The sequence below is a fragment of the Homo sapiens genome, chromosome 7 (genome assembly GCF_000001405.40).
Source record: "Homo sapiens chromosome 7, GRCh38.p14 Primary Assembly".
Classification (NCBI taxonomy): domain Eukaryota; kingdom Metazoa; phylum Chordata; class Mammalia; order Primates; family Hominidae; genus Homo; species Homo sapiens.
This window is the reverse complement of record NC_000007.14, coordinates 129,267,389-129,280,649: the sequence shown is the minus strand read 5'-3', so window position 1 is coordinate 129,280,649 and position 13,261 is coordinate 129,267,389. Positions and strand designations below refer to the sequence as shown.

The window sequence follows — 13,261 nt, the reverse complement described above, 5'->3', positions numbered from 1 at the left end:
TCAACATTGTATGGGATCATCTGAAAAGTACAATAAAATAAGAACTTATAAAGTATCTAGACTAGAAAGCGAGTCGTAAAACTGTCTTTACTCATAGTTGACAAAAAACTGCCTCAGTTGAAAATCTGATGGAATCTACAAAAAAGCTACTAGAACTAAAACAAGAATTTAGCAAATTTAGGGCCGAGCATAGTGGCTCATGCTTGTAATCCCAACACTTTGGGAGGCCAAGGCAGGTGGATTGCTTCAGGTCAGGAGTTCCAGACCAGCCTGGCCAACACGGCGAAACCTCGTGTCTACTAAAATACAAAAATCAGCTGGACATGGTGGTGGGCGCCTGCAATCCCAGCTACTAGGGAGGCTGAGGCAGAAGAACTGCTTGAACAAAGGAGGCAGAGGTTGCAGTGAGCCGAGATCGTGCCACTGTACTCCAGCCTGGGCAACAGAGCGAGACTCTCTCAAAAAAAAAAAGTATTTAGCAAACTTAAAGACTATAAGATCAATTTATAAAAGTCAATTGATATTTCTGTATATTAGCAAAAAGCAACCATATTGTCAGAAGCATTAGAACCAAGGCGACTCCATCTTAAATAGAGGCTGGGTAAAATGAGACCTGCTGGGCTGCATTCCCAGGAAGCTAGGCATTCTTAGTCACAGGATGAGATAGGAGGTTGGCACAAGACACAGGTAACTAAGACACCACTGATAAAACAGGATGCGGTAAAGAAGCTGACCAAAACCAAGAGGTGCCTCTGGTTGTCCTCACTGCTGGTTATATGCTAATGATAATGCATTAGTATGCTAAAAGACACTCCCACCAGTGCCGTGACAGTTTACAAATACCATGGCAACATCAGAAGTTACCCTAAAAGGAAGGGGACCCCTTAGTTGTGGGAAATGCCTCCCCTTTTCCTGCAAAACTCATGAATGAATAATCCACCCCTTGTTGAACATATATGATCAAGAAATAACCACAAAAATAGCCAACCAGCAGCACTCAGGGCTGCTCTGCTTATGAAGCAGCCATTCTTTTATTCCTTTACTTTCTTAAACTTGCATTCATTTTACTCTGTGGACTCACCACAAATTCTTTCTTGCATGAGAACCAAGAATCCTCTCTTGGGGTCTAGATTAGGACCCCTTTCCAGGGTAATAACAAAAACATGAAACATGGAACATGAAACATCGATACATTGGACAAAAGATATGCAAGACCTATTGAAAACTATTAAACACTGGCCAGGAAGCCGGGGTGGGGGGATCACCTGAGGTTGGGAGTGTGAGACCAGCCTGGCCAACATGGCGAACCTCATCTCTATTAAAAATACAAAAATTAGCCAGGTCTTGTGGCGTGCGTCTGTAATCCCAGCTACTCGGGAGGCTGAGGCAGGAAAAAAAAAAAAAACTACCAAACACTTCTGAGAGAAATAAAAGATGTCCACAAGATGGTACAGATATGCCATTCATGGCCAAAAGATTCAATATTGTTAAGCTATCAATTCTCTCCAAATGCAGATTCAATACAATTCCAATAAAAATCCCAGATGCTTTGTTGTAGAATCTGACAAACTGATTCTAAAATTCACATGGAAATGTAAAGGGCGCAGAAGAGTCAAAACAACTTTGAAAAAGAAATACAAAGCTGGAGGACTACCTCTATCAGTTTTTAAGACTTATAAAAACTATAGCTATAAAAATAATGTGGTAGTTGTGTCAAGTTAGACAAACAGATCAATGGAACAGAAGAAAGTCCAAAAATACACCCACACATCCGTAGACAACTGATTTTCAACAAAGGTGCAAGAGCAATTCAGTGGAGAAGAGTCTTACCAACAAATGATACTGCAACAATTAGATATTCATATGCAAAAAAAAAAAAAAAAAAAGAGCTTCAATACAAACCTTGTACCATATGCAAAAATTAACTCAAAATGGGCCATTGGTATAAAATGTTAAGCCAGAATTATAAAGCTTCTAGAAGAAAACATAAGAGAAAGCTCTTCTAATCTTGGGTTGGACAAAGATTTCTTAGATATGACACCAAAACTACAAGCCATAAAACAGCAAATTGATAAATTGGGCTTCATGAAAATACAAAGATTTTGCTTTTCGAAAGGCATTGTGAAGAGAATAAAAAAAATAAGCCACAGACTGGGAGGAAATATTTGCAAATCATCTATCTGATAAAGGACTTATATCTAGAATATATAAATAACTCTCAAAACTCAATAATTAGAAAATAAACAACCCAATTAATTAAAAATGGTAAAAAGAGACTGGATGTGGTGACTCACGCCTGTAATCCCAACACACTGGGAGACTGATGGAGGAGGATCACTTGAACCCAGGAGTTTGAGACCAGCCTGGGCAACACAGGGAGACCCCATCTCTAAAAAAATAAAAAATAAAATAAAATGGTCAAAATATTTAAATAGACACTTTACCACAAGAGACATACAAATGACAAAAAGTACATGAAAAGATTCTCAGCATTAGTCACTTAAGTACATTAAAACCACAATGAAATACTATTTTATGCTAATCAGAATGGCTAAAAATAAAGACTGACCATACCAAATGTTGATGAGGATGTGGAGGAATTCAAACCTGGTGGGAATGTAAAACGGCAAAACCTCTTTGGAAAACAGTTTGGCGGTTTCTTAAAAATTAAACCGTACACTTATATAATCCAACCATCACACTTCCAGATATTTAACAACGAGGAACAAAAACATATCTCTAATAAATGTTCACAGAAGCATTATTTATGATAGCCTCAAACTGGAAATAACCCAAGTGGCTGTCAACAGGTGAACGAATAAATCAAATGTGGTCTAACCATACGATGGTACTACTATGCAATGAAAAAGACCTTTGATCAATCAACAACATAAATAAATCTCGAAATAATGATGCTAAGTGGAAGAAGCCAGAATTACCCCACTCCCCTCTCCCCAAAGAGTACATACTACTTGATTCCACTTAAAAGCCTAGAAAATGCAGACTCTATTATTATATGAAGCAGATCAGTGATTGCCTAGGGATGAAACTGGGTGGTAGAGACAGGAGAGGCCAGGCGCAGTGGCTCACGCCTGTAATCCTAGCACTTTGGGAGGCCGAGGCAGGTGGATTGCCTGAGCCCAGGAGTTCGAGACCAGCCTGGGCAACATGGCAAAACCCTGTCTCCACTAAAAATACAAAAAAATTAGCTGGGTGTGGTGGTGCGCACCTGTAATTCCAGCTACTCAGGAGGCTGAGGCAGGAGAATTGCTTGAACCCAGGAGGCGGAGGTTGCAGTGAGCTAAGGTGGCACCACTCCATCTAGCCTGGGCGACAGAGCAAGACTCTATCTCAAAAAAAAAAAAAAAAAAGAGAGAGACTTTAGAGGTAATAAATATGTTCTTTATCTTCATTGTAACAATAGTTTCATGGTTTTAGACATGTGTCAAAACTTTCCAAGTTGTAACCTTTAAATATCTGCAGTTTTTTGTTTGTCAATTATACCCCTTTATAAAACTATTGTAAAAATTGCATCTGTGCCTCTTTTCAATTAGGTAGTATTTTACTTATTAATTCAAAATATTTAATGATTATAGGTCTCTTCAGGTTTGTATTCCTCCTTGAGTCAATTTTGGTAAGTTATATATATTTTTCACAACGCTGTTCTTTTTATCTAAGCTGTACAATTTAGCACCATAGATTTGTTAATAATACATTTGTTATTTCATAATCTATGCTGTATTTGTAGATATGTCTTCTTGTTCAATCTTAGTGGTATCTGTATCTTCACTCTGTCTTGCTGATTAATCTTTGCAGGGCTTTGTCTTATTTTAATCTTTTTTTTTAGAAAACCAACTTTTGTTGCTGTTAATTCTTTTATATCTTTGTGGTTTTTTTCTTTTTTTTTTTTTTTGAGACAGTTGCCCAGGCTGGAGTGCAGTGGCATGATCTCAACTTACTGCAACCTCTGCCTTCCAGGTTTAAGCAATTCTCATGCCTCAGCCTCCCAAGTAGCTGGGATTACAGGTGCCCACCACCATGCACAGCATTTTTATACTTTTAGTAGAGACGGAATTTCACCATGTTGGCCAGGCTGGTCTTGAACTCCTGACCTCAAGTGATCCACCTGCCTCAGCCTCCCAAAGTGCTGGGATTATAGGCATGAGCCACTGTGCCCAGCCTGTTTTCAATTTCATTCAGTTCTGGTTTTTTTTTTTATTCTTCCCTTCTACTTTCCTTGGTTTTTATTCATTTCTTTTTAAAAATAACTTCTCAGTCAAATACTAAGACTAATAAATAATGAACTCTGTTTTTTTTCTAATATAAGCATGTAAGGCTGTAAATTTCCCTTTGGCTTTTTTAATGTTCTTAATTAGTTTTTCTTACCCTCATCTTCTTTGTGATGATATAAATTTCCCTCTAAATGCTGCTTTAGTTGTAACCCATAATTCTGATACACAGTATTTATATTATCATTCGGCTTTACTTATAATTTCCATTATTATTTTTTCTTTGATCTATGAGTTACTTAGAAGTATGCTTTTAAATTTCCAAATATATAAAATTATTTTGGTTATCTTTTTGCTCAATTTCAGTCTTAACTGAATTGAGTACGAGAATAGTTTGCATAATATCCATTCATTGGTTTTGTTGAGACTTGATTTATGAATTCAGTGTGTGTTCAATTTTTTTAAAACTCCCTAAAAAGAATGTATATTCTCATCTATTAAGCGTGGGGCTTGGTACATATCCAAAAAATGAAGCCTGTTGGTTGGTTGTTCAAATCTTCTGTTATCTTCTCAAGTTGTTTTTGTCTGTTTGACCATCAATTACTCAAAAAGACATGTTAAATTTTTCCATTTTATAGATTTATAAATTTATTCATATTTGTATCTATATATTTTCTTCCTATATTCTATCTACATATTTTGTATTCTATCTATCTATTTTAAGGCCATGCTATAAGATGCATACTGATTTGGAATTATAGCTTCTTGCTTAATTCTTCCTTTACAATTTTTTTCTGATAATTTTTAACGCAAATAATGATTTTTGCCTTCAAATCAGTTTTGGCTACTATTAACCTGCTATGCCAGCTTTCTTTTGGAATAGATTTTTCCATATCTTTATTTCCAGTCTCTCTCATTCCTTATGTCTTAGGTGTATTTCTTACAAACTGCATAGACTTGGATTATTTTCTATTCAGTTTGGCAATGTTCCAGTTATTTTTTTATTTTTTTATTTTTTGGAGACAAGGTCTTGCTGTGTCACCCAGGCTGGAGTGCAGTGGCACAATCTCAGCTCACTGCAACCTCTGCCTCCCGGGTTCATGAGATTCTCCTGCCTCAGCCTCCTGAGTGGCTGGGATTACAGGCGCCTGCAACCATTACAGGTGCACACCACCATGCCTGGCTAATTTTTGTATTTTTAGTAGAGATTGGGTTTCAATATGTTGGCCAGGCTGGTCTCAAACTCCTGACCTCAGGTGACCCACCCGCCTCAGCCTCCCAAAGTTCTGGAATTAGAGGTGTGAGCCACTGCGCCTGGCCATGTTCCAGTTATCTACGGCTAAATTTAAAAACTATTCTAAATCTTAGTAGTGTTAAACAATAATCATTTTATTATTCTCATGATTCTGTGGGCCACAAATTCTGGCAGGGCACAGCAGAGACCGCTTGTCTCTGATTGACGATGTCTGGGAAACTCAGGTGGGATGCCCTGAAAGGATGAAGATGGCTGAGATGTCTTAACATGTGCCATAAGTCTGAAACCTTGGCTCTTCTCCAGATGGTGTCTGCTAGGGCTGGATTATTCAACATGGTTCCTTCACTCACTCCTAAGGCTGACAGTTGATACTGGCTCTTTGCTGGTAGCTCAATGGGGCTATCAACCAGTGCCTACATGTGTCCTCTCCATCTGGCTGGGGATTCTCACAGCATGGTGACCGGGTTCTATGTGCAAGCAGTCCAAGAGAGAGGATTCCAACGGGCACAGGCAGAAGACACAAGGCTTTTCATGACCTAGCCTCTGAAGTCCCAGAAAGTTACAGTCTATTGGTTAAGCAAGTCACTAAAGCCAGCCCAGATTCAAGGGGACAAGGGAAATAGACTCCACCACTGAATAGCAAGAAGGGAAGAAATTGGTGGCGGCCACTTTGGATACAAGCTACCACAGACCACCCTCTGGCCCCAACAAGGCCCTCCCACATGCAAAATACACTCACCCTCTTCTAAGACCTTCAAAAGTCTCATTTCATTATGGCATCAGCTTGATGTCCAGAATCTCGATATCTAAATCAGGTCCAGATGTGGTTGAGGCTCCTCAGATGCAGTTCCTCAGGTACAGCTACTGCAGTATAGTTCCTCCTGATCTGAATTAAAGAAACAAATTATCTGCTCCCACACACCCAACATACAAACATACAATAGTGAGACTGACTTAAGATAAGCACAATAGACACTCTCATTCAAAATGTGAGGAAAAAGGGAGAAGGAACAGGAGACACATAACAGTTACTGGCCCATAACAATTCTGAAATCTAATCAGACACATATCACCAGTTCCTCTATTACAGCCAAGTCCTACACCTTGAGAATGACTCTCCACAACCCTTGGCTCCACCCTCTAAGTTTCTGAATTAACCTTCTTTTTACATAAGAGATGGGTTAATTTTTGCAATGGAGTGGCCTTATAAGCTTGTTTCCTGCCTATAGATGATTGGAAATCTAAAGGCCTATTTTCACTTTCTACTGTCTCTGTTCCTCTTTTATTATTATGATTTCTTTAAAATCTTGTGGATTTCCTATGAATCTTATTGGGATTCACTCCAGCAGACAAAAGCCACATCCACCTTTTCTATCGCAAGTCTTATGTGAGGCTACTGTGAGAAAACACACTTAAGATCCCTAGAAGCCCTATTGTTTAACATAGTAAGCCTAAGAAGTATTCCCTTAAGACCTCTAGATATCCCTTTATCTAATTGAAAGGTTTTGTGAGGCATTGTCTTAAATCTTTCTGAAGTCGGCCAGGCGCAGTGGCTCATGCCTATAATCCCAGCACTTTGGGAGGCCGAGGTGGGCGGATCACCTGAGGTCGGGAGTTCGAGACGAGCCTGACCATCATGGAGAAACCTCGTCTCTACTAAAAATACAAAATTAGCCAGGCGTGGTGATGCATGCCTGTAATCCCAGATACTAGGGAGGTTGAGGCAGGAGAATTGCTTGAACCAGGGAGGCAGAGGTTGCGGTGAGCCAAGATCATGCCATTGCACTCCAGCCTGGGCAACAAGAGCGAAACTCCGTCTCAAAAAAAAAAAAAAAAAAAAAAAAGTCTTAGCAAAGGGATTTACAGTTGCATCACTGAGATCTTTACTTTGAGGCCATATTTTATTGGTAGCATCTTGAATTTTATCTTTCCTCTGAAGCCATTTATTTAGAAGTCATTGGTCAGGCTAGGCGCAGTGGCTCATGCCTATAATCCCAGCACTTTGGGAGGCTAAGGCGGATGGATCACTTGAGCTCAGGAGTTTGAGACCAGCCTGGCTGATATGGTGAAACCCTGTCTCTACCAAAAATACAAAAAAACAGCTGGGCATCATGGCGGGCACCTGTAATCCCAGCTACTCAGGAGGTTGAGGCAGGAGAATCACTTGATCCCGGGAGGCAGAGGTTGCAGTGAGCACCACTGCACTCCAGCCTAAGTGACAGAAAAACTATCTCAAAATAATAATAATAATAATAAAATAAAAGTCATTGGCCATTTGAAGCAACTAGAGATGAGAAAAAGTTTTATTTTCTATAATAACACAACCATTCCTGGGTTAGAAATATTTCCTCTAAGTTCTGTTTTAAAACTTAGTAGTTCATTTTTTAGTTCATTTATCAATTTGTACCTTATCATACTTAGAAAAAACTAGGTAACATTTTTTCAACATTCTGCCTAGAAATCTCCTTAGATACACTGAAGTCATTAGATACATTTTCTATGGTCTATGTAACCACATGTGGCAGTACCAATAAACCTTGAATCACTATATAACAAAGGTTCACTCTTTTCCCAGCCTCCAATAACACTTTTCTCTCTGTGTTTCAAGCCTTCACTGTCTTCTCAAGGTCCCTCCATCTTTAACCCTCACCAAATTCCAAAGCCAATGCAAATTGTAGGTTTTGGCAGCACCTTATTTCAAGGTACCAAATTTGGTTTCAGTTATCTATCACTACAAACTACCCTAAAGCTTAGTGGCATAAAACTACAACCATTTTATTATACTCACAATTCTGATTCAGACAGAGTATAGCAGGAACAGCTCGTGTCTGCTCTATAACATCTGGGGCCTCAGGTAAGGTGGCTCCATTGATTGAGGATAACTAGACTGGGAGCCATACGCCTAGGGCCTGGGCTTTTCTCCATATGATGCCCACTGGAACTGGAACTCACGTAGCTGAAAAGTGATGCTAGCTGTTGGCTAGGAGCTCAGCTGAGCCTCTCCATCTGGCTTGGACTCCTCACAGCATGGCAGCTAGGTTCCAAGACTAAATGTTCCATAGCACAGCAATCCAAAAGAGAATGTTCAAATAGGCCTAGATGGAAGCTGCAAAACTTTTCATGACCTGGCCTTGAAAGTCCCAGAATGTTATCTCTGCCACATTTCACCAAACAAGTCACTAAGGCCAGCCCAGATTTGGTATGAACAGAGGAATAAACTCCACCACTAGATGGGGGTGGTGCACATGTGGAGGGAAGGAACTAACATCAGCCATCTTGAAAACATGCTACAACAATCTGTCTTTGTTTCAATAAGTGTAATTCATTTATGTTCAGTATGATTACTGATGCATTTGGATTTATCTCTACCATCTTTTATTATGCTTTCTATTTATCCTATCTTTTCTATGACATTTATTACATTTTCCTTATCTGCTTTCTATTAAATGGAGGAAGTATACAAATTATAAATTCAATGAATTATAACAGAGTGAAACAGCCATGTAACTATCACCCAGGACAAAAATCCAATGTTACCCGCACCCGGGTTTTTAGCTTTATATAAATAAAATAACATAGTATATATTATTTTACATCTGGCTTCCTTCCTTCAACATTATTGTTATTCAGCCATGATCTTATGCATAGCAGCAATTTATTCATTTCCATTGCTTAATAGTATTCTGTTCTATGAATATACCATAATGTATCCATTCTACCATTGATATTGTCCACCAAATTTTAAGTTTCAGTGACTATATTTTTTGAAGGTCTATTTTAAAACTCTTTTTTTTTTTTTTTTTTTTGGAGACAGTCTCGTTCTGTTGCCCAGGCTGGATTGCAGTGGCACCATCTCGGCTCACTGCAAGCTCCACCTCTCGGGTTCACGCCATTCTTCTGCCTTAGCCTCCCGAATAGCTGGGACTACAGGCGCCTGCCACCACGCCCAGCTAATTTTTTGTATTTTTAGTAGAAACGGGATTTCACCGTGTTAGCCAGGATGGTCTCATCTCCTGACCTCGTGATCCGCCCGCCTCGGCCTCCCAAAGTGCTGGGATTACAGGCATGAGCCACCACGCCCGGCCCAAACTTTTTTTTTTTAGAGCACCTTTAGCTGTGAGATTTGGTGTGGCCTAGATTGAGGATATCCCTATAGAGAAGTTTTGCACTTGCTTCAGCCTGATGCCGTAGGACTGTTGCAGATTCAAGACTACTTTATATGTTAATTTCTTGGCTTTGGGTTTCCTGGACTGCAGAAAAAGAGGAACATTCTAAACTGAACCTATGTGAAGACAACCCCAGGTAACAAATTCTCAGAGAAACCTTTCTCACCTAAAGCCCACACGGAGTGGACAAACTTCCTTGACATTTCTCTATGCCATGGGGCAAATGTTTTTTCTAGATCATCTTTTCAATAATGTGGAAACCCTTTGAGGAACTTAGCTTTCTGCAAGGGAGTAAAAAAGTCTCTTATTCCCATGTGGTTGTTAAAACTAAGTCTCTTAGTCATCCAGAGCAGCCGTAACTTTAGCTTATGTACTTAACACTGATTTTCAATGCCCTCATCATTTTTTTGCCCCTAAGGATTTTCCTTACTTTTTCACAAGCTCAGCTATAGATTTAAAATAATGTCTATTATATATTTATCTGGCATATGACTAGGAATCTTGAGTGTTCTTTCCCCCTTTGTCAAATGTAAAACATATAACAAGGAGGGGGAAGTCACAGGAAGAGAAACTCAAAGAAAAAAGTGAAAAATGTTCTGCCTTTTATCATGGACAGGACCCATAGGTCCAAGGTTATTTGCACTAAGAAGATTCTAACTAAAGGGAATGTATACTATTTTTATCATTGGAACTGAGTATCTCTGTACTCTGGTGACTAATAGAAGAGGACGCCAATCAAGCAGGTACGTATGTCAAGGCAGTTCTAAACACAACTGACGTTACATTAGGAAGGTAGAATCCCTCAACCAGTGTGACCCAGATAATACAATGAGGAAGGATCTAAAGGAACTGAGAAAGGAAATATTAAGATATACCTAATAGTCTCCTAATGGGCTTCATTTTCTTTTCAGTAAACTTTTGACCTTGCTTCTACCAAACACTGTAAAATTAAATAATACGCAGGAATAAGGAAGGCCCAAGTCAAAAACTTTCCATCACTGTAAGTATAAACACTTTAGCTAGAAAGTGAGTAGTAGATAGGAGCAAAAATGGTAATATGAAATTATAAATGAAAGTCAGACACTGGAACAATATCAATAAAGAATATATTTTAATGTCCATAAAAAATCCATTACAAATAATTTATTTGACATATATTATGCATTTAGTGATAAGGATATAAGCATGAATTAAGTATCAAGCAAATTTATCAATCTATAGACACTGTAAAATTTAAGGTGAACTCTAAAAATTACGGAATACAAAAAGAACTCATTTAGGGCCGGATATGGTGGCTACACTTTGAGAGGCTTAGGCAGGAGGGCTGCTTGAGCCGAGGAGTTCAAGACAAGCCTAGGCAACATAGTGAGACCCCCATCTCTATTAAAAAACAAAACAAAACAAAACAAAACAAAACCGGCACAGTGGCTCCCGCCTATAATCCCAACACTTTGAGAGGTTGAGGTGGGTGAATCACGAGCTCAGGAGTTCAAGACCAGCCTGGTTAGCATGGTGAAACCCCATCTCTACTCAAAATAAAAAAAAAATTAGCCAGGCATGGTAATGCGTGCCTGTAATCCCAGCTACCCAGGAGGGTGAGGCAGGAGAATCACCTGAACCCAGGAGGCGGAGGTTGCAGTGAGCTGAAATTGTGCCACTGCACTCCAACCTGGCCAATAGAGCAAGACTCTGTCTCAAAAAAAAAAAAAATTAGGCATGGTGGTGCACACCATGGTGGTCCCAGTAGGACTCAGTAGGCTGATGTGGGAGGATGGCTTGAGCCTGGGAGGTTGAGGCTGCACTGGGCCATCATCGTGCCACACCACACTTCAGACTGGGCAACAGAGTAAGTGAAAAAAAAAAAAAAACAGGAATCATTTAGGAAAAAAAGAAAAGAAAAAAAAGAAACTTTGAAAGCCAAAAGGTCTACACATATGGTTATGATCCCATTTATATGAAATGTCCAGAATAGGCAAATTATATGAAACGTCCAGAGACAGAAAATAGATTCGTGGTTGCCTAGGGAATGATTACTACAAGGTTTCTTTCTGGGATGATGAAAATGTTCCAAAATTAAATTACAGTAATGGTTATACACTCTGTAAATATGAAAAAAAATCACTCACTGAATTGTATGCTTTAAATGAGTGAACTTCGCAGTATGAAATTATATCTCAATAAAGTTACTTTTAAAAAGTAAAGAGGTCTACTTATTTTCAAAAAGCTAAAACATTCTACCAAAAGAGAAATTCAGCCCACCAGGCAGCCTTCAAATCTTACTTTTGGTTTGTTTAAACAAAGGAAAGATTCAACCACAGCATTAATGTCGTTCCCAAGAAAGCACAAGCGGCCAGGTGCAGTGGCTCACGCCTATAATCCCAACACTTTGGGAGGCCGAAGCGGGTGGATCCTAAGGTCAGGATCTGGCCTTAGACTGGCCTGGCCTACATAGTGAAACCTCATCTCTACTATAAAAATACAAAAATTAGCCGGGTATGGTGGCCCGTGCCTGTAGTCCCAGCTACTCAGGAGGCTGAGGCAGGAGAATCACTTGAATCCGGGAGATGGAGGTTGTGGTGAGCTGAGATCATGCCACTGCACTCCAGCCTGGGCAACAGAGTAAGACTCCGTCTCAAAAAACAAAAACAAAAACAAAAAAAGAAAGCACAAGCAAACTCCCTAATGCTGCCTTCAAAGTTACAGCATTTTCATACCTTGATCTTTCCAAAACCTGGTTATGTCACAAAGCCCTTTCAAAGCTGAGCTTCTTTAAGGTATAGCTGGTAAAAACAAGATCCTCAAGATAACATAGAGGCTTAAAAATCAGTCATGACTGTTAAAATTCTGACTTGGAAATTATTAGTTTAAATTTACTAAATTACTAATTACTAGTTTAAACTACTACGTTTACTCCTAGTAGAACTAGGAGTAAAAAGGGAGTGAACTAAAATAGCAAGTTTGTCCAAAAAGTCGTCAAAAGAAATTCCTCACTTTCCTCTCTCTCTATTTCCCCTCATCCTCTTTTTTCTTAAAACAGATCATATGCCACATTTTCAGAGCTTTCTACTCCCATGTTATAGGTACTTTTAAATAAATAGGAGTATGACCATTTACCCAATCATATAAGACTAGAAACTCATCTCTCTGTTATCACACAGAGCATCCACTCCCACACACATACAGAAGTCAGTCACCAAATTCTATCAATTCCATCATCTTACCATCTCTCCCACAAGATTCCCTCTTTTCTACTTCCTATCTTAGGGTCAGGTCCTTATCCTCTCTTACTTAGATAATTACAATAGCCTGATTATTCTCTCTTCACTTTCAATACTAGCCTCACCTCCACCTTCAATATACTATTGATGCTAACATTCAAATCTAATAAGGCTTGGGGAGGGGCGCAGTGGCTCATGCTTCTAATCCCAGCACCTTTGGAGGCCAAGGTGGGCAGATGACTTGAGGTCAGGAGTTCGAGACCAGCTTGGACAACATGGAGAAACCCTGTCTCTACTAAAAATACAAAAATTAGCCAGGCATGGTGGCAGGCACCTACAATCCCAGCTACTAGGGAGGCTGAGGCAGGAGACTCGCTTGAACCTGGGAGGTGG

At 39.4% G+C, this 13,261-nt stretch overlaps 1 protein-coding gene across 6 annotated transcripts in view, besides 1 other annotated feature; it reads right to left on the bottom strand.

Moving 5' to 3' along the window:
- AHCYL2 (adenosylhomocysteinase like 2) overlaps positions 1 to 13,261 on the bottom strand; it is a 205,182-nt gene that overhangs the window by 149,562 nt on the left and 42,359 nt on the right. Inside the window, exon 3 of one of the 6 annotated variants that reach the window (XM_047420088.1) lies at positions 6,224 to 6,370. The exons of the other annotated variants lie outside the window; for them this stretch is intronic. The gene's annotated coding sequence lies outside the window, so the exon portion shown is untranslated. The remainder of the gene's footprint in view (positions 1 to 6,223; positions 6,371 to 13,261) is intronic. 6 annotated transcript variants of the gene reach the window in all.
- Positions 8,568 to 8,862: an enhancer, noted in NCBI's record as "tiled region #5606; HepG2 Activating DNase unmatched - State 12:CtcfO, and K562 Activating DNase matched - State 12:CtcfO". NCBI's record gives its function as "activates a minimal TATA promoter and a strong SV40 promoter by Sharpr-MPRA in HepG2 and K562 cells {active_cell/tissue: HepG2 | K562}" and the evidence as "EXISTENCE:reporter gene assay evidence [ECO:0000049][PMID:27701403]".